This window comes from Homo sapiens, chromosome 19, assembly GCF_000001405.40.
Source record: "Homo sapiens chromosome 19, GRCh38.p14 Primary Assembly".
Lineage (NCBI taxonomy): Eukaryota > Metazoa > Chordata > Mammalia > Primates > Hominidae > Homo > Homo sapiens.
Genome location: NC_000019.10, coordinates 32781429 through 32802808, shown reverse-complemented (window position 1 = coordinate 32802808; position 21380 = coordinate 32781429). Strand labels below are relative to the sequence as shown.

General features: G+C 43.0%; 1 protein-coding gene across 11 annotated transcripts in view, besides 1 other annotated feature; it reads right to left on the bottom strand.

Annotated features, from left to right (window-relative positions):
- Nucleotides 1-21380, bottom strand: part of TDRD12 (tudor domain containing 12) — a 109814-nt gene that overhangs the window by 26772 nt on the left and 61662 nt on the right. For 10 of the 11 annotated variants that reach the window (NM_001437947.1, XM_011527473.4, XM_011527475.3 and 7 more), the window contains 9 exons: nucleotides 12218-12278; nucleotides 11741-11845; nucleotides 7996-8181; nucleotides 4918-5074; nucleotides 4374-4501; nucleotides 2451-2642; nucleotides 2037-2165; nucleotides 936-1053; nucleotides 20-153 (listed from right to left, as the gene is read on the bottom strand). In NM_001437947.1, the coding sequence (NP_001424876.1) occupies nucleotides 20-153; nucleotides 936-1053; nucleotides 2037-2165; nucleotides 2451-2642; nucleotides 4374-4501; nucleotides 4918-5074; nucleotides 7996-8181; nucleotides 11741-11845; nucleotides 12218-12278 (1210 nt within the window). Of the gene's footprint in view, nucleotides 1-19; nucleotides 154-935; nucleotides 1054-2036; nucleotides 2166-2450; nucleotides 2643-4373; nucleotides 4502-4917; nucleotides 5075-7995; nucleotides 8182-11740; nucleotides 11846-12000; nucleotides 12136-12217; nucleotides 12279-21380 lie in introns of those variants that run through there. The other variant, NM_001110822.2, reaches the window with a different exon arrangement.
- Nucleotides 14992-15286: an enhancer, noted in NCBI's record as "tiled region #1108; K562 Activating DNase unmatched - State 4:PromP". NCBI's record gives its function as "activates a minimal TATA promoter and a strong SV40 promoter by Sharpr-MPRA in K562 cells {active_cell/tissue: K562}" and the evidence as "EXISTENCE:reporter gene assay evidence [ECO:0000049][PMID:27701403]".

Here is a 21380-nt window from a genome sequence, read left to right as displayed (position 1 = left end):
GAATAAAAATTCACCAAACCTGTTCAGCGTGAAAATGATCAGACATGCAATACAGGCGTCCACCAAAAACTTTTGGTGAGGCAGGGAAACTGAAGTGAATCACACACGTGGCATCGGTGATGGCCAAGAGTGGGACGCAGTCGTCTGTGAGGGCTGCAGAGAGGGAGTCCGACAATGTCACACGCGCTGGAGTTACCGCACTTACTTTAACCGGCAGTTCCCACGGCCACACTGCAGTGCATTTCCATATCACATTTTACTTTTTTGGATGCAAAGAAACTTCTTCCCCATTTTTTTCCCCAAAATGCCACAGCCCAGTGCTTAAATTCCAGAGAAAAGTGGTCTCCTTCTTAGCCTGAAAAATGTCTCTTATTACAAATCCAAGCGGCCCATATGTTTTTCACTTATTCTATATATTTTGACTTTTATATTTTTAATATTAAATTTAGCAATCATGCATGACTATATATAGTCATATGTATATAGTCATATACATGAATATATATATAGCTTGAGGATCACTATCATGATATATATGATCATATATATGATCACTATCATATATATCACTATCATATATATGATCACTATCATATATATGATCACTATCATATATATCACTATCATATATATGATATATATTATCATATATATATATGATAATATATATCATATATATGATAGTGATCCTCAAGCTATAACTCTAGGGAGAATGTCTAGACTAATGGTGGCTGCCCACTGACCTGAGAGATTTACCTCAACATCAAAATCTTAGTGGAGGTTAATTTTTCATTTTGAAATTAACATTGCTAATAAAGTCTCAGTAAACCTGGGGAATAATGAGAAATCTGGAGATGAGATATATAAATGAATTAAAGATAGAATTCCTAGTAGCTCAACCTTCACTAAATAGAAGTAGAAATTAAAACACTTACCTAATATAATTTGAGAGCCAGAACTTAACTTCTTCTTCCACTGTTCTAAAACATTTTGTAAGTTAAAAATCATTTCTTTATGCATCTTCAAGCAAAATATTGAACTGCTTTCTACTACCTAAAGATGAAATCAAAGAGGCCAGGTCACAGTCAGGGATATAGGCTGGAAGCCAACCGTTCCATCAATAATTGTCAATGTAAAGCACTTTAATTTATCTGTGAGGGCACTACCTCACTGATCCCATAATTCTTAAGAATGAGATGATTATAAACTGAAATATATTTCCAAAATTCGGTTGTTTATGTCTAAAATCTTGCTCAAGTGAAATAAGCAGTATTTTGCTGAAACTATTTTGCTTCCTTTTAAAATAACACAGCCATACTTGTGTGTGTGTATAAACACACATACACACACACACAGACACATCAGCTAGAAAGTCCTGGTTGACTACAGTACCATATAACTATACTTCTAGCTGACTGCTGCAGAAAGCTAGATGTACTATTAATTCTTTTATTTGGTAGTTGGCTTCATTTCTACGTTTTAGCACTAATATGTACAAAATAAAACTGAATAAATCTTTAGCCAATTTATTTGATTTTTTGGCTATATGATATCTTTTACTGTTATCTTCTCAATCTTCTTTTTCTTCTTCTTTTTTTTTTTTTTCGTAGAGACAGGGTTTCACTATGTTGCCCAGGCTGGTCTTGAACTCCTGGCTTCCAGCAATCTTCCTACCTTGGCCTCCCAAAGGGCTAGGATTCAGGCATGAGCCACCTCAATCTTCTTAAACAGAGGGTACAGAAGATGTTGTCATGTCTATAAATTGATACTTTTAATACTCCACCAAGACGAAACTGCCCTGCCCTGGGGAACGCTGCTGCAGAGGAAAAGCCCTGCCCCCGCACCTGGCTCCTCCCCAGATCCAGGCCTCAGCCTGCATGCTCTGTGAGAAGACCCCACCTCCTCTTCTGATTGATGTTAAACTTGTAAAACTTTACTTCCCTGCCACAGAGTCAACCACCCCAGTAATTTTGTGATGACTTGAGATTCGACCAGTTGAAACAAACAGAACATTTTTTATATGGAGATGGACTCACCTTACACACTATTTCTGTTTCAGCTACAGAGCAGGTGAAGATCAAGGTCTTTTGTGCCTGACTTGGAATAAAATCAAGAGCTTGGAGTAAAGAAGAAGTTTTTTCACATTCTAGGCAAAGATGTACTACCTGGTAATGAAGCACAGAAACAATGTGACTTTTTAATATTTTAGGTGCTCCAGATCCACTTTCCACAGGTGTTGGGATTTTAATAGAAAAGAATGTATAGGAAATCAATATAAATTTAAATATTCAACTATAATTGTATTTCATTCATAATTTATATATGAAATCAAAGCTGTAATTGTTTAATACTAAGCCATGAAATAAAAGTTACTTGCTTGTGTTCATCAGCCCCCCACCAACACATACACACACACACACACATACACATACACATACACACAAAGTTACCTGTTGGACATTGCCATAGAGAGCAGCCTCTTCCATGGCTGTGATCACAATGTAGGGATCATTCATGAACTCTTTGATGAGATGTTCTATATGTTTGTTCCAATGAACTCCAACTGCAACAATCTGATGTGGTGCAGATTCCCTTTCTTCAACTTCAATATTTTTTTTAAAGTTATCTAATATAGCAAACATCTGAAAAATTAGCATAATTAATTTCATTTTTATTTCAAAAGAGTAAGAACTAGTGTGGCAGAACATAAAATGTAAGGGTTTGTATATTTTCTGTTCTCAGAGTGGAGAAAGTCTTTCAAAAATAAAAGGAAAAGGCCAGGTGTGGTGGCTCACGTCTGTAATCCCAGCACTTTGGGAGGCTGAGGCAGGCGGATCATGAGGTCAGGAATTCAAGACCAGCCTGGCCAACATGGTGAAACCCCATCTCTACTAAAGATACAACAAATTAGCTGGGTGTGGTGGTGTGCACCTGTAATCCCAGCTACTCGGGAGGCTGAGGCACAAGAATTGCCTGAACCCGGGAGGTGGAGGTTACAGTGAGCCAAGATCAAGCCATTGCACTCCAGCCTGGGCGACGAGGGTGGGACTCAGTCTCAAAAAAAAAAAAAAAAAAAAAAAGGCAAAAACTAAATAGGAGAAAATGTCAAGTTTAAAGTCAATAAATATCCTACAATCTCCATTATAAACAAAACTAAAGCATAAGCAATATCTTGGTAAATATGTATAACAAACAAACAAGAGATTAATGTTCTTGCATAAAAACTTCTAAAAACTGATTAGCAGAAGATGATCCTACCAACAGAAAATAAGAAAAGGAAGTGAACAAGCAACTCAGAGTGAATACAAATGATCAATACGAATTAATGTTCAACCTAAAAAATAATCAAGGAAATGTAAATTAGGCTGACAAGATCCCACTGTTGGCCAGTTAGGCTGGAGGAGAAAACTGGGGCAAGCCTGCTCTGGCAGGGGTGTGGAGAGCCTGCACATGGCTGACAGGAGTGCACATCAGGTCATGCTTTCAGAAAGGATGCTGCACAGAGCAGTATGCCTAGATACTAGTTTTACAAAAATCAGAACCTGAGACTTCAGAGGAGTTCAAGAACCCTGCACCGCCTCATAGTCAGTAACAAAGCCTGGACTCAAAACTGGGGCCATCATTACTCCCAAGTGCATACCCTTGGTGACTGTGTGACACTGCTTCCAAGAAAAGCCTTACAAGAGCTCAAAGCCTCTGACCCATGAATCCCTTCCTAGGAATTCATCCTAAAGGAAACAGGTGCAAAAAGCATGCATGTTCTGTAGCCACACACGTATACAAATTATGTTGAATATCCAATATTAAGACAGTTGTAAAACAAATTCTGTGATGTCCAAAGAACTGAATACTATATGGCCAGTAACCACCAGGCTGTGGAACAGGAAGCGGTGGCCCTTACGCTGCTGCGCCCTGCACAATGCAGGCTACAAAATGGCCTGTAAAACACACCCCTGATGTTATTAACTATATGTATCTACAAACACAAGAATTCAAAGAAAAAGAAGCAAATACTCCAAAATAGTAAGAGGGATCCCTTCTGAAACTATGGCTGTGCAGGCTGGGTTTTTCAAGTGCTCTTCTCCATGTCTTAAATTTTCTAAAATAAAAATCATTACTTCTGTAATCAGAAAAATTTTAAGTATTTTAGGAAATCTCTAGGAAAGAATGTTTGCACTTCAGAAAGAATTCTAACACTGGGAAGGAAATTTCACATAACCATTCTTTCTTCTTAATTATAGAAGTTAAAGCATAAAATTTTTTTAGATTAACCAATGTATTCCCCAACCAGACACTTTTCCTCCTTCCTGCCATCAGTTAGCATGTTAATCACGCCTCTCTTCTGAGTGCTGAGGACCTTAAGCCACGCTCACCTGTTCATTGGCTTCCAAGAATAGCACCTCTACCTCATCCAGGATCAGGTGGCAGAGCCTGAGGAACAGCAGGCTCTGACAGGCGAGAAGCCTCAGCAGGCTGTATGGGGTCGTAACAATCACATCACCTGCATTTAAAAAAAAAAGTGAACATTTTCAATTTTCCACAGGTTTTTCTAAGATTTCCTCTGCTAAGAGTCCACATACTTTCTAGAAATGCCTTCTAATGAAGTAAAACACTGTTTCTGTCCTAGTCAACCCCATATGCCCAGCATCTAACAAACAGTTTAAGTGTTCAGTAAATAGATGATAAATGAATGAAGTGACATAGTTTTCTCAGTGAAGCAGACGTAAGTCAAGATCAAGCCTTCGTAATCAAAACCGTCGGGAGCTGACAAGTAGGTCTGGACTAGTGACTGTGAGTGTGTCATCACACAAGCCATGTCACTGTGGACCCAGGCCCAGCCAGGCTCCACTGTCTTCTGTAGGGAAGACAGTGAAAAGGATACTTTAACTTTTATAGCCGCTTGAAAAGGATACTTACAGCCCCTTGGAAGCTTTGTATTTTTGGCTTCCTCTTTATGGAGCCCAATTGTTAATAGCACAGGATGAAGAGGCCTGGAGGACATGCTATATTCTCCCAATAATTCAAAAATAAATTGGGCCTTCTTCCACCCAGGGCACACGATGACTGCGAGAGGCTGCGAAGACAGACAAATTCAAATGACTCCAGACAGTAGTTAGGAATTCAGCATCCATATGAAACATCAAGAACATCTCCTTGCACAGAAGCAGCACCCCGTAAGTTTCTGCTATAATCATCATACAGGTCAGAAAAGTGACGATATAATTTCATTAAAACAGATTTAGACACATTGAGTCATATTTGCTGAGTCTCAATGAAGCACTTCACACGTATGCATTCATTTAGCTCTTAAGATGCTCTTATGGGGCAGAGGCTGTCACTGCTTCACTTCAGAGGTGAGGAACTTGAGGTACAGAGAGGTGAAGTCAGTTACCCAAGGCTGCACAGCTAATACATGGTAGCAACAGGACTTGAACCCAGGCAGTCTGGCTCCACATCCCCTGCACAGATCCTAAGCACAAGAATGAACTAAATGCCTCCTGAAAGGGGCCTTAAAAAAGACGAACCCTGGCTGGGTGTAGTGGCTCACGCCTGTAATCCTAGCACTTTGGGAGGCTGAGTCAGGTGGATCACCCGAGGTCAGGAGTGTGAGACCAGCCTGACCAATATGGTGAAACCCCATCTCTACTAAAAATACAAAAATTAGCCAGGCGTGGTAGTGTGTGCCTGTAGTCCCAGCTACTCAGGAGGCTGAGACAGGAGAATTGCTTGAACCCGGGAGGCAGAGGTTGCAGTGAGCCGAGATGGAGCCACTGCACTCCAGCCTGGGTGACAGAGCGAGACTCCATCTCAAAAAAAAAAAAAAAAAGACGAACCTCTCTTCCTTAGGACACTATCTTCTGAACCCTGCCCTCTGCAAGCCGACAGGTAACTCCTGAAGCTGCACTGCCTGCCAGACACACACCCTCCAGTAACTGAAGACAAGCTGAGGCTCCTCTTTCATTCATACAGATCCAGGTGGGCCCAGCTTCCAGACACAGGCCTGAAAGCAGGCTGACCATGGAGGCGTGGAGAAAGCTGGGGGCCACAGGGACGAGACCTGGACATCCCCTTCTGCCCTGAGCCTGGGTTCGGCCTCAATATAAGCGACTTCTCATCAGTTGCTTCTCATTAGTCTGCTGCTAAGTAATTTGGGAGATAGAAACATATCCATTAATTTGACTAAATCAGCTGCTAATAACAGATGCAACTTTTTTTTTTTTTTGAGATGGAGTTTGGCTCTTCTTGCCCAGGCTGGAGTGCAATGGTGCGATCTTGCCTCACCGCAACCTCCGCCTCCCAGGTTCAAGCGATTCTCCTGCCTCAGCCTCTCGAGTAGCTGGAACTACAGGCGTGTGCCACCACGCCCAGCTAATTTTTGTATTTTTAGTAGAGACAGGGTTTCACCATGTTGGCCAGGATAGTCTCGATCTCGATCTCGTGATCCGCCTGCCTCGGCGTCCCAAAGTGCTGGATTACAGGCATGAGCCACTGCGCCCGGCCAACAGATGCAACTTTCTAAAGGGAAATCATAAAACTGCATGGCACGGTTAGAAAAATGAGCTAGTATTTTTCCTAACTGCAACCCTATGTCTTCTTACTGCTGTTTTTCACTGGTGGAGCCCCGTCTGGAGCACCCTCAGTGCCAGGCCCCGAGATGCAGGTTCCACACCCATCAGGCCCCTAACAGCCACAAACCAGCAGCACAGGGCCATGCCCTGCATCATTTACCTTCACACCGCTCCTCTCTTTCCCACCACCTCTTTCTCAGTGAAATGGTTTAGCTCTGCATCCCCACCCAAATCTCATGTTAAATGTAATCCCCAGTGTTGGAGGTGGGGGCTGGTGGGGGGTGATTGGCTCATGGGGGCAGTTTCTCATGAATGGGTTAGCACTGTCCTCTTGGTGCTGTTCTTCTGAGATCTAGTGTTTAAAGGTATGTGGCACCTCCCCTGCTCCTGCTCCTGCTCCAGCCATGTGTCACACTTGCTCCCCCTTAGACTTCTGCAATGATTGTGAGTTTCCTGAGGCTTCCGCAGAAGCCGAGCAGATGCCAGCATCATGCTTCCGCTCCAGCCTGCAGAACCATGAGCCAGTTAAGCCTCTCTTCTTTATAAATTACCCAGCCTCAGGTATTTATAGCAATGCTAGAACAGACTTAATACAGTTATTCTGAGGTTTTCCCACATGGGAAAAGTTAAGAAGGATTATGAAGCAGGGTGGGGAGCTAGGAAATGACTGGCAGAGCACGGGACAAGGCAGCAGAAGCTCAGACTTCAACCCCACTCCTAGCCCTGTCAGTGGGAAATTTACCCCAGTAACTCTTCCTGAGCCTCATTTTCTCCTCCGTGAAATGGTCAGAACAATGCCCATCTCATGCTGCTACTGTGATGGATAGATAGACTCAGGTCTGTGACAGCATTTTACACACTCGATATCCATTTTTTCTTTTTCTTTCTTTTTTTTTTTTTTTTTCTGAGATGGAGTTTTGCTCTTATTGTCCAGGCTGGAACACAATGGTATAATCTCGGCTCACTGCAACCTTCGCCTCCCAGGTTCAAGTGATTCTCCTGCCTCAGCCTCCCAAGTAGCTGGGATTACAGGCATGCCACCATGCCCACCTAATTTTTCTGTTTTTAGTAGAGACAGGGTTTCACCATGTTGGCCAGGCTGGTCTCGAACTCCTGACCTCAGATGATCCACTCGCCTCGGCCTCCCAAAGTGCTGGGATTACAGGCGTGAGCCACCGTGCCTGGCCTCCATATCCATTTCTAAAAGCCTCAGCCAATGGCCCACAACTATAGGCTCCAGGTGAGAATCAGTATGAGAGCATCAGTAATTGGAATGGGAAAGGACACTTTCCCACAGGACAGTTTCTGGCCTGGAAGTTTGAAAACCAAACTGAGTAATAGACGACCTTCCTCAAAGGTGAGGTGTATAATTTTAAAATAAATATTTAACCCATTTGGTTGTGAGGCAAAACTGTCTTTGACTTACTCCATTTCTACTTGGTAATGACTTGTAGCAGGCTCCTGTTTGCAAAACTGTCAACACTGGTAGGAGGTAGAGCAAAGGGTTGCTTTCACAGTGAGAAATGACAACCACATCACAGCCACGCGCTATGGGAGGCCAAGAGTAAGATTCAGTGTGGCTGGGGCCCGGAAACTTATTTCTTTGAAGAGCCTACAAAACAGAAACAACCAGAAACCAAAATAAGGTAGAGAAAACTAACAAAAACTCCATTGCATGGCTCATTTCACCCCAAAAAGCACTACACATTGCCAAACCCAGTATTTTCCAAGCCCTAACTTGTTAAGTTTCCCCAAATCTTTTCTCAGTACCAACCTCCTATTAAAAGACTGTTGCTTTTTCTCCTATTAAGACTCCCATTAAAAGATTCTTGCTAGGCAGGGCACGGTGGCTCATGCCTGTAATCCCAGCACTTTGGGAGGCCGAGGTGGGTGGATCACCTGAGGTCAGGAGTCCGAGACCAGCCTGGCCAACATGGTGAAACCCCATCTCTACCAAAAATACAAAATTAGCCAGGTGTGGTGGTGCATGCCTATAATCCCAGCTACTCTGGAGGCTGCGGCAGGAGAATCACTTGAACACAGGAGGCAGAGGATGCGGTAAGCCAAGACTGTGCCACTGCACTCCAGCCTGGGTGACAGAGCGAGACTCCATCTCAAAAAAAAAAAAAAAAAAAAAAAAAAAAAAAGCCAGGCACAGTGGCTCATGTCTGTAATCCCTGCACTTTAGGAGGTCAAGGCGAGCAGATCACCTGAGGTCGGGAGTTCAAGACCAGCCTGACCAAGATGCAGAAACCCCGTCTCTACTAAAAATAGAAAATTAGCCGGGCGTGGTGTCAGGCACCTGTAATCCTAGCTACATAGGAGGCTGAGGCAGGAGAATGACTTGAACCCGGGAGGCACAGGTTGTGGTGAGCCGAGATCATGCCATTGCACTCCAGCCTGGGCAACAAGAGCAAAACTCCGACTCAAAAAAAAAAAAAAAAAAGATTCTTGCTTTAATTTTCTAAATTAAAAGGATCCAATAGATGGCCCATTGACAGGAACTTAAAGTTCACTGGATCAAAGATGTGGCTTTTCCTCCTCATTCTCCTAATAAACTGCCAGTCCATCAGCTTCACTTGTAAAGCTTTTTAAAAGATAGACTTTTATTTGCTTATTTTTCTATGTAACTGTCACTAAAACCCAAATGTTCCAATAGAGTTCTCCACCCACATGGATAGGATCTTCCAAATGGCCGAGCTCATCGGCACCATGAGCTCTGTGAGGTCCTCTCGAGTCCTGAGCCCTAGCTGCAGTCAGGACCCGCCATGCTCTGCACTTGGTATTGAGCAACTATCCTGGTATCATCCTTCACCATCACCTTTTGTCTGCAAACCCATGTGGTCATCTTTCTCGGGTTACTTCTTTGTTTTGGTAGAGAACATATTTTAATATCTTCTTGACAAAGGTTGGAAGGGAAGTACGTTTTTTTAAGACTCTGTATGTCTGCAAATGTCTTCACTCTACCCTCACGCTCCATCCACAGTTTGAGTAAGGACCTCTGGTTGGAAAGAGCTTTTCATCAGAATTATTATTATTATTATTATTATTATTGTAGACAGAGTCTCGTTCTGTGCCCAGGCTGGAGTGCAGTGGCACGATCTTGGCTCACTGCAACCTCCGCCTCCCAGGTTCAAGAGATTTTCATGTCTCAGCCTACCAAGCGACTGGGACTATAGGCACATGCCACCACACCCAGCTAATTTTTTGTATTTTAGTAGAGACAGGATTTCACCATGTTGCCCACGCTGGTCTTGAACTCCTGAGCTCAGGCAATCTGCGCCTCAGCCTCCCAAAGTGCTAGGATTAAAGGCGTGAGCCACCGCACCTGACCTCATCAGAATTTTGACATCAATGCTCATTTGGTGCACTGTGGAGACATCTGAAGCCATTCTGATTCCTGGTCCAGTGTGTAGGACCAGTTTCATCTCTCTTGAAGCCTTCATAATCTTTAGATTCCCTCAACTTAGATGCTTCAGAATCTCTTTCTTCAGCAGTTGTGCTGGGCCTGTGATGGGTAGGCCCTCTTAATCTGGAAATTCTTGTCCATTAGGTCCAGAAAATGTTCCTATGTTAATCTTCAGAAAATGTCCTATCATCTTCCTTCATTCTTCCTAGAAATCCCATTTTTCAGAAACCGGACCTCAAACTGACCCTCAAAAATTTTTCCTCCTATTTCCGTCTCTTTGCCTTTTTCCTCTACTTTCTGAGTTAGCTTCTCTTTTATGTCTCAAACATACTAGTGATTTTTACATTTTTCTATATTTTGAATTTCCAAGAATCTTTTATTCTGCCTGTTCCTTTTTAAAATATCCTATTTTCAATATCCCCAGAGAGAAAAAACATTACATCCCTTTAACAGTAAGCTGTTAGAGATGCAATGTCTTCTCTCCGGGGATATTTATTCTCTCTGGGGATATTTATTCTTTAACATTTTCTCCTCCTCACTGCATTGTTTGTTTCCTTGAGAGTTTGTTTCGGTCTTTTTTTTTTTGAGACGGAGTCTTGCTCTATTGCCCAGGCTGGAGTTCAGTGGCACAATCTCAGCTCACTGCAACCTCTGCCTCCTAGGTTCAAGTGATTCTCCTGCCTCAGCCTCCCAAGTAGCTGGGACTACAGGCATGTACCACCATGCCTGGCGAATTTTTGTATTTTTAGTAGAGACGGGGTTTCACCATGTTGGCCAGGCTGGTCTCAAACTCTTGACCTCAGGTTATCTGCCTGCCTCGGCCTCCCAGTGTTAGGATTACAGGTGTGAGCCAATGCACCCAGCCTGGTCTTTTTTTTTTTTTTTAAGGTGAAGGCTTTCTTCAAATGTCCATGATCCCTGATGTCTGTTCATGGTGGACAGCAAGACACTAACGCCCAACTGGAGGCTCTGGGGACTCTTGTCATCACATGAGTGTCACCTCACTGCAGAAAGGCAGGGAGGCAAGCAGGCCCTGTTCATGGGAGAATTCCAAATAGCATCATCTGAAGGTCATTTCTCTAGAGCCATTCAAATTTCTCCAAAAAGAGCCTCCAACCTTGCTGCTGAGAACAATACAAGCTGGCTGTGGGTGCTCAGAAGACAGAGCTGGTGGTTCACGCTCCCCTCGCTCGCAAAGCACTCCTTCCCTGAAGAGGCAGCCACACTCTGTCTCCTGCTTTCATCTTCTAAGACTGTGGAATCTGTCCACTTCTCTCTCATGCTATTTGTCCTGGTTGTTTTAGCTTCCTATCTTAAAAAAAATTTTTTTTTAACTTTTTTTAATCAGGAAAAAAGTAGATAAACACGTATGATCAATTTTCCAAATGAAACCATATGTGTGTAAGACAATTTTGAAAAGAACGGTCGGGGAGTGCATTACAATTGCCCTGGTGGCCTGCTGCTCCTCCCACAGCCCTGTCCACAGGCATCCTGGAAACCTGACTGCAGAAGGGGCTCACAGTTACACAGCGGCTGCCTCACAAAACAATCACTCACTCACTTCTAAGAAGCTAACTTGGATTTAAGAATAAATGAGAAATTAGGCCGAGTGTGGTGGCTCATGCCTGTAATCTCAAATAAAAAGAGAATTTCAAAAGCAAAGAAATTATACAATGCAACCTTAGAGCCATTTATTTCAAAATCCTTCTCTATTAGAAAAAGTTGGCATTCTTGATAAATTCAGTTTTACGAGCACTTTTACCTTCTTCAGGTCTGCTGACAGCGGCGACGAGTCAATGGTTAAGCAGGGCTTGATCTTGTTCCGGAGCACTACCACGGGCGGCTGCAGGCCCTTCAGCTTCTGCAACTGAGAGAACGTGTGCATTAGACAACCAGTGTCTGCCCTGAGGCGTCAGCACAGGAGATCAAGAACTTCACAGAAATGAAGAAAATATAGATTTCAATGTAAACACCTGGGTATATATGCTTACTTAAAAAAAAAGAAAAAAAAAACCACCAAACTACCAAAAGGAAGATCGTTTATTATCCAAAAAACAAGGAACAATTTCTCAGAAGCAACAATCCATTCGATCGTTTCTAAAAGGATGTCTTCAGGTTAAGTCCCCCATCTAAGGAGTTTCTCTTCTAATCTCAAGTCTGGAGGGAGGAAGGAGAAGGATTTAAAGAATAAACAGTTTTTTCTCTCTTTTTATTTTACTTTTTTTAGGGCCTGTAATACCTGCTGGAGATCAGAGATTCCGTCAGCTCTCAAAGGATCAGGATTTAAAAACTGCAGTAATCTGTAAGATAGTTAAAAGAAGAATGTGAAGAAAAAGGTGTTTGTTTCCTCAGTTGAGCTATTCTTTTAGTTCTTCCTTGACAGAGATAGCAGGGGCTGCACAGCCCAAGGCTCAGCTGTACAACTGCTGCCTGTTCTGTTCTGCTTGGTTTATGAGACATGAGGGCCTGTACCTGTGCTGCCACAACCCTGCCACCCAGGTCCCCCTGAGAGTATCTGAGGGGCCCCAGCCAAGCTCAGGAATCACTAGTGTACTTTACTATCTTTATTTTATGGATGAGAAAACAAGACCAGATAGGACTTGTCCACAGTCACCTCTGCTGAGAGGAGAAGAAATTTGAAACTGCTTTCCTCTAGATCCAGCCCAACCCCAACATGGGTAAGGCCAGTGGCAGTCACAGAGAAGTCACAAGGCACAGACATGGCGGGGACTCCAGGATAAAGATGGTGGGTTACACACATGGCAAACTGCGCTCCTTCCTAAAGCCTCATTCCTGTAAACGCGTTTTTTCTTTTTTCTTTTTTTTTTGAGATGGAGTTTCGCTCTTGTTACTCAGGCTGGAGTACAGTGGTGTGATCTCAGCTGACTGCAACATCCGCCTCCCAGGTTCAAGAGATTCTCCTGCCTCAGCCTCCTGAGTAGCTGGGACTACAGGCATCCACCACCACACCCAGCTAATTTCTGTATTTTTAGTAGAGACAGGGTTTCACCATTGTTGTCCAGGCTGGTCTCGAACTCCTGACCTCAGGTGAACCGCCTGCCTCGGCTTCCCAAACTGCTGGGATTATAGGCGTGAGCCACTGCGCCCGGCCCTGTAAATGGATTTTCAAATGCAAAAGCCACAAGATCCAACTGTTATCAGCTGATGAATGGGTACATGAAATGCACTCCATGCACGCAATGGAATATAAGTCAGTCATGAAAAGGCATGCTGTGCTAGTTTATGATATGGCAGAGATGAGCCTTGGAAACACTGTGCAGTGAAACCAGCGTCACCAAGGCCCACCCACCGTATGAGCCCATCGATATGAAATGTCCTGAACAGGCAAACCCATAGAGACTGAAAGCAGACAGCTGGCTACCAAAGGATGTGGAGGGAGGAAAATGGAGGGTGACCGCTAATGGGTATGCACTTACTTGTGTGGTTGCAAACTCTGTGAATACACTAAAAATCACTGAATTGTACACTTGAAAAAAGGGTACATGAATCATATTTCAAAAAAGCTATGTTTTAGAGACAATATTCCAGAACAGAATGTTGGAAGCTAAAAAACAGATGGACAAACTGGTAACAGCCCCAAGACAGTTGACCCTGAGCCAGCCGCGGGAGGCCTGACCCTATCTGCAGAGAACAACCTTCAGAAAGCTTAGGAATTAGGGGCAGGCTCCCTGGCTGCAGCAATGTGGCAGAGGGGGGAACCTCTGCATCACCTTACACTACTCCACACCAGACGGCCACTCACCCCAACCCGAGGAAGGCCAGGGGCTGATTCTCTGGAGAGGATAAAGCAGAACTCTCAGGACTCGGGGCTGTAGGCCTAGCTGCAAACAGAGGTGCTGAACTGAAAAGAAGGAGGCTAAGCACACACAGGACAGTGAGACCCAGCCTGTGCCTCCCACTCAGCTCCCAGGACACAGGCAGGTCTTTAGCCCCAGGGGCCAGAGACAGGAGAAGCCTTCCCTTGGGCATCTGGACGGAATTCAGAGGTCCCTGTACTCACAGCAGCTCGCTCCCCAGAGAGACCCACAGCCCACAGGCTTGGCACACTCAGAGACCCTCACCGGCTCACTGGGCCTCTACGTTGAAATACAGGCAGACAATCAAGGACTGCATGACATCTAAGGAAAGCCTCCAGCCTTAAAAACCGAGTAATGCACCCTGCAAAAAAAGAAACAGTGTAGGGAGAAGAAAACTCCCCCACAAAAATCATTAGTCTCCTTAGAGAAATGAGAGAAACTACCATATATGTGAAACGAGGACAGGACACTGTCAGAAAAAGAAAAGAGAAAAGAGAACAAAAGGAAAACCCTTGCAAATTAAAAACGTGATATTAGAAATAAAAAACACAATAAAATGAGTAGAGGACAAAATTGTAAAATCATTCCAAAAAGTAAAGCAGGCTGGGTGTGGTGGCTCACACCTATAATCCCAGCCTTTTGGGAGGCCGAGGCAGGCAGATCACTTGAGGTCAGGAGTTTGAGACCAGCCTGGCCAATATAGTGAAACCCTGTCTCTACTAAAAATACAAAAATCAGTCAGGTGTGGTGGCAGGCACCTGTAATCCCAGACTGAGGCAGGAGAATCACTTGAACCCAGGAGGCAGAAGCTGCAGTGAGCCGACATCGCACCACTGCACTCCAGCCTGGGCAAAAGAGCGAGACTCCATTTCAAAAAAACAAAAAAAAAGAAAAAAAAAAGTAAAGCAAAAAGACAAAGAGATTAAAAAAAGAGCAGGCACTTTCAAGATGGCCAAATAGGAACAGCTCCAGTCTATAGCTCTCAGCAAGATCAATGCAGAAGATGGGTGATTTCTGCATTTCCAACTGAGGTACCTGGTTCATCTCACTGGGACTGGTTGGACAGTGGGTGCAGCCCGTGGAGGGTGAGCTGAAGCAGGGTGGAGTGTCGCCCCACCTGGGAAGCACAAGGGGAAAGGTTTCCCTTTCCTAGCCAAGGGAAGCCATGACTGACTGTACCTGGAGGAGCAGTATACTCCTGCCCAAATACTGCGCTTTTCCCAGTCTTCACAACCAGCAGACCAGGAGATTCCCTCCTGTGCCTGGCTCGGCGGGTCCCACGCCCACAGATCCTTGCTCGATGCTAGCACAGCAGTCTGAGATCGACCTGGGATGCGGGAGCTTGGTGTGGGGAGGGGTGTCCACCATTGCTGAGGTTGAGTAGGCGGTTCTATGCTCACAGTGTAAACAAAGCAGCGGGGAAGCTCAAACTGGGTGGAGCCCACCGCAGCTCAGCAAGGCCTACTGCCTCTCCAGATTCCACCTCTGGGGGCATGGCATATCTGACCCAAAGGCAGCAGACAGCTTCTCCAGACTTAAACGTCCCTGCCTGACAGCTATGAAGAGAGCAGTGGTTCTCCCAGCACAGCACCTGAGCTCTGATAATGGACAGACTGCCTCCTCAAGTGGGTCTCTGACTCATGTGTAGCCTGACTGGGAGACATCTCCCAGTAGGGGCCGACAGACACCTCATACAGGTGGGTGTCCCTCTGGGATGAAGCTTCCAGAGGAAGGATCAGGCAGCAATATTTGCTGTTCTGCAGCCTCTGCCCAGGGAAACAGGGTGTGGGGTGGACCTCCAGCAAACTCCAACAGAGCTGCAGCTGAGGGGCCTGTCTGTTAGAAGGAAAACTACCAAACAGAAAGGAATAGCATCAACATCAACAAAAAGGACATCTACACCAAAACCTCATCTGTAGCTCACCAACATCAAAGACCAAAGGTAGATAAAACCACAAAGATGGGGAGAAACCAGAGCAAAAAGGCTGAAAATTCCAAAAACCAGAACGTCTCTTCTCCTCCAAAGGAACACAACTCCTCGCCAGCAACAGAACAAAACTGGATGGAGAATGAGTTTGATGAGTTGACAGAAGTAAGCTTCAGAAGGTCAGTAATAACAAACTTCTCTGAGCTGAAGAAGCATGTTCTAACCCATCGTAAGGAAGCTAAAAACCTTGAAAAAAGGTCAGATGAATGGCTAACTAGAATAACCAGTGTAGAGAAGAGCTTAAATGACCTGATGGAGCTGAAAACCACAGTACGGGAACTTCGTGATGCATGCACAAGCTTCAACAGCCAATTCGATCAAGTGGAAGAAAGGATATCAGTGATTGAAGGTCAAATTAATGAAATAAAGTGATAAGACAAGATTAGAGAAAAAAGAGTAAAAAGAAATGAACAAAGCCTCCAAGAAATATGGGACTATGTGAAAAGACCAAATCTATGTTTGATTGGTGTACCTGAAAGCAACGGGGAGAATGGTGCCAAGTTAGAAAACATTCTTCAGGATATTATCCAGGAGAACTTCCCCAACCTAGCAAGGCAGGCCAACATTCAAATTCAGGAAATACAGAGAACACTACAAAGATACTTTCGAGAAGAGCAACCCCAAGACACACAATTGTCAGATTCACAAGGTTGAAATGAAAGCAAAAATGTTAAGGGCACCCAGAGAGAAAGGTCAGGTTACCCACAAAGGGAAGCCCAGCAGACTAACAGTGGATCTCTCTGCAGAAACTATAAGCCAGAAGAGAGTGGGGGCCAATATTCAACATTCTTGAAAAGAATTTTCAACCCAGAATTTCATATCCAGCCAAATTAAGCTTCATAAGTAAAGAAGAAATAAAATCCCTTACAGACAAACAAATGCTGAGAGATTTTGTCACCACCAGGCCTGCCTTCCAAGAGCTCCTGAAGGAAGTACTAAACATGGATAGGAACAATCGGTACCAGCCACTGCAAAAACATGCCAAATTGTAAAGACCATTGACACTATGAAGAAACTACATCAATTAATGGGCAAAATAACCAGCTAGCATCATAATGACAGGATCAAATTCACACATACAATATTAACCTTAAATGTAAATGGCCTAAATGCCCCCAATTAAAAGACACAGACTGGCAAATTGGATAAAGAGTCAAGACCCATCAGTGTGCTGTATTCAGGAGACCCATCTCACGTGCAAAGACACACATAGGCCCAAAATAAAGGGATGGAGGAAGATCTACTAAGCAAATGGAAAGCAAAAAAAAAAGCAGGGGTTGCAATCCTGGCCTCTGCTAAAACAGACTTTAAACCAACAAAGATCAAAAGACATAAAGAAGGCCATTACATAATAGTAAAGGTTATCAATTCAACAAGAAGAGCTAACTAGATTCATAAAGCAAGTTCTTAAGAGACCTACAAAGAGATCTAGACTCCCACACAATAATAAATGGGAGACTTTAACACCCCACTGTCTATATTAGACAGATCAACGAGACAGAAAATTAACAAGGATATCCGGGACTTGAACTCAGCTCTGGACCAAGCAGACCTAATAGACATCTACAGAACTCTCCACACCAAATCAACAGAATATACATTCTTCTCAGCACCACATCACACTTATTCTAAAATTGACCACATAATTGGAAGTAAAACACTCCTCAGCAAATGTAAAATAACAGAAATCACAACAAACTGTCTCTCAGACCAGAGTGCAATCAAATTAGAACTCAGGATTAAGAATCTCACTCAAAACCGCACAACTACATGGAAGCTGAACAACCTGCTCCTGAATGACTACTGGATACATAATGAAATGAAGGCAGAAATAAAGATGTTCTTTGAAACCAATGAGAACAAAGACACAAAGCATCAGAATCTCTGGGACACATTATAGCACTAAATGCCCACAAGGGAAAGCAGGAGAGATCTAAAACTGACACCCTAACATCACAATTAAGAGAACTAGAGAAGCAAGAGCAAACAAATTCAAAAGCTGGCAGAAGACAAGAAATAACTAAGATCAGAGCAGAACTGAAGGAGATAGTGACACAGAAAACCCTTCAAAAAAATCAATGAATCTAGGAGCTGGTTTTTTGAAAAGATCAACAAAATAGATAAACCACTAGCAAGACTAATAAAGAAGAAAAGAGAGAAGAATCAAATAGACACAATAAAAAATGATAAAGGGGATATCACCACTGATCCCACAGAAATACAAACTACCATCAGAGAATACTATAAACACCTATGCAAATAAACTAGAAAATCTAGAAGAAATGGATAAACTCCTGGACACATACACCCTCCCAAGACTAAACCAGGAAGAAGTCGAATCTCTGAATAGACCAGTAACAGGTTCTGAAATTGAGGCTGTAATAGCCTGCCAACCAAAAAAAATTCCAGGAACAGACAGATTCACAGCCGAATTCTACCAGAGGTAGAAAGAGCAGCTGGTACCATTCCTTCTGAAACTATTCCAATCAACAGAAAAAGAGGGAATCCTTCCTAACTCATTTTATGAGGCCAGCATCATCCTGACACCAAAGCCTGGCAGAGTCACAACAAAAAAAGAATTTTAGGCCAATTTCCCTGATGAACATCAATGCAAAAATCCTCAATAAAATACTGGCAAACCGAATCCAGCAGCACATCAAAAAGCTTATCCACCATGATCAAGTCGGCTTCATCCCTGGGATGAAAGGCTGGTTCAACATACGCAAATCAATAAATGTAATCCATCACATAAACAGAACCAACAACAAAAACCACATGACTATCTCAACAGATGCAGAAAAGGCCTTCGACAAAATTCAACAGCCTTTCATGCTAAAAACTCTCAATAAACTAGGTATCGATGGAATGTAACTCAACATAATAGGTATTTATGACAAACCCACAGCCAATATCATGCTGAATGGGCAAAAACTGGAAGCATTCCCTTTGAAAACTGGCACAAGACAAGGATGCCCTCTCTCACCACTCCTATTTGACATAGTATTGGAAAGGCAGGGCAATCAGGCAAGAGAAAGGGCAGTATCTGGCCAGGGCAATCAGGCAAGAGAAAGCAATAAAGGTATTCAAATAGGAAGAGAGGAAGTCAAATTGCCCCTGTTTGCAGATGACATGATTGCATATTTAGAAAACCCCATCATCTCAGCCCAAAATTTCCTTAAGCTGATAAGCAACTTCAGCAAAGTCTCAGGATATAAAATCAATGTGTAAAAATCACAAGCATTCCTATACACCAATAACAGACAAACAGAGTCCAATCATGAGTGAACTCCCATTCACAATTGCTACTAAGAGAATAAAATACCTAGGAATACAACTTACAAGGGATGTGAAGGACCTCTTCAAGGAGAACTACAAACCACTGCTCAAGAAAATAAGAGAGGACACAAACAAATGGAAAAACATTCCATGCTCATGGATCAGAAGAATCGATATCGTGAAAATGGTCTTACTGCCCAAAGTAATTTATAGAGTCAAACCTATCCCCATCAAGCTACCACTGACTTTTTTCACAGAATTGGAGAAAACTACTTTAAACTTCATATGGAACCAAAAATGAGCCCACATAGCCAAGACAATCTTGGGGAAGAAGAACAAAGCTGGAGGCATCACGCTACCTGACTTCAAACTTTACTACAAGGCTACGGTAACCAAAACAGCATGGCACTGGTACCAAAACAGATATATAGACCAATGGAACAGAACACAGGCCTCAGAAATAACGCCACACATCTACCGCCATCTTATCTTTGACAAACCTGACACACACAAGCAATGGGGAAAAGATTCTCTATTTAATAAATGGTGTTGGGAAAACTGGCTAGCCATATGCAGAAAACTGAAACTGGACCCCTTCCTTACACCTTACACAAAAATAGACTCAAGATGGATCAAAGACTTAAACACAAGACCTAGGACCATAAAAATCCTAGAAGAAAACCAGGGCAATACCATTCAGGACACAAGCATGGGCAAAGACTTCATGTCTAAAACACCAAAAGCAATGGCAACAAAAGTCAAAATTGACAAATAGAATCTAATTAAACTAAAGAGCTTCTGCGCAGCAAAAGAAACTATCATCATAATGAACAGCCTACAGAATGGTAGAACATTTTTGCAATCTATTCATCTGGCAAAGGGCTAATATCCAAAATCTACAAAGAACTTAAACAAATTTACAGGAAAAAAGCAAACAACCCCATCAAAAAGTGGGCAAAGGACATGAACAGACACTTCTCAAAAGAAGGCATTTATGTAGCCAATAGACATATGAAAAAATGCTCATCATCACTGGTCATTAGAGAAATGCAAATCAAAACCACAATGGGATACCATCTCATGCCAGTTAGAATGGCGATCATTAAAAAGTCAGGAAACAACAGACGCTGGAGAGGATGTGGAAAAACAGGAATGCTTTTATACTGTTGGTGGGAATGTAAATTAGTTCAACCATCATGGAAGACAGTGTGGTGATTCCTCAAGGATCTAGAACCAGAAATACCATTTGACCCAGCATTCCCATTACTTGGCATATACCCAAAGGATTATAAATCATTCTACAATAAAGACACATGCACATGTATGTTTACTGTGGCACTACTCACAATAGTAAAGACTTGGAACCAACCCAAATGTCCATCAATGATAGACTGGATTAAGAAAATGTGGCACATATACACCATGGAATACTATGCAGCCATAAAAAAGGATGAGTTCATGTCCTTTGCAGGGACAGGGATGAAGCTGGAAACCATCATTCTCAGCAAACTATCACAAGATCAGAAAACCAAACACTGCATGTTCTCACTCCTAAGTGGGAGCTGAACAATGAGAACGCATGGATACAGGGAAGAGAACATCACACACTGGGGCCTGTGGGGGGTGGGGGGCTAGGGGAGGGATAACAATAGGAGAAATACCTAATGTAGGTGACAGGTTGATGGGTGCAGCAAACCACCATGGCACATGTACACTTATGTAACAAAACTGCACATTCCGCACATGTAACCCAGAACTTTAAGTATAATAAAAAAAAAAGAAAAATATATTTTATAAAATTACTCAACCAATTCAGGAGGTTCAACATACGAGTCACAGAGGTTCTTAAAAGAAGACAGAGAACACGCAGCACAAGAGAACAACGAAAAAGTCAAGAGAATTTCCCAGGGGTAAGGGACATGAGGCTACACACTGGAAGTGTCCACTGAATGACAAGCATAATAATAGAACCACACCAAGGCACAACATCAGGAAACTTCCAAACACCGGCAACAAAGGAAGATCCTATAAGCTTCCAGAGAGAGAGAGAGAGAGAGAGAGAAAAGGAAAGGAGTCATATATAAAGAATAAGAAATCAGAATAGAGTGGACGTCTCTACACTAGAAACTAGAAGTAGAAATGTCTTCAAAATGTATACCCAAACTATTGATCAAGTGTGAAGATAATCTAAAAGCATTTATGCAAAGTCTCTAAAAAATTTATGTTTTGTGTCTCCCTTCCTAGAAAGCTACTAAAGGATGCTCTCCACCAAAACAAGGGAGTAAACCAAGTAAGAAGAAGATGGATGATCTGGAAAAGAG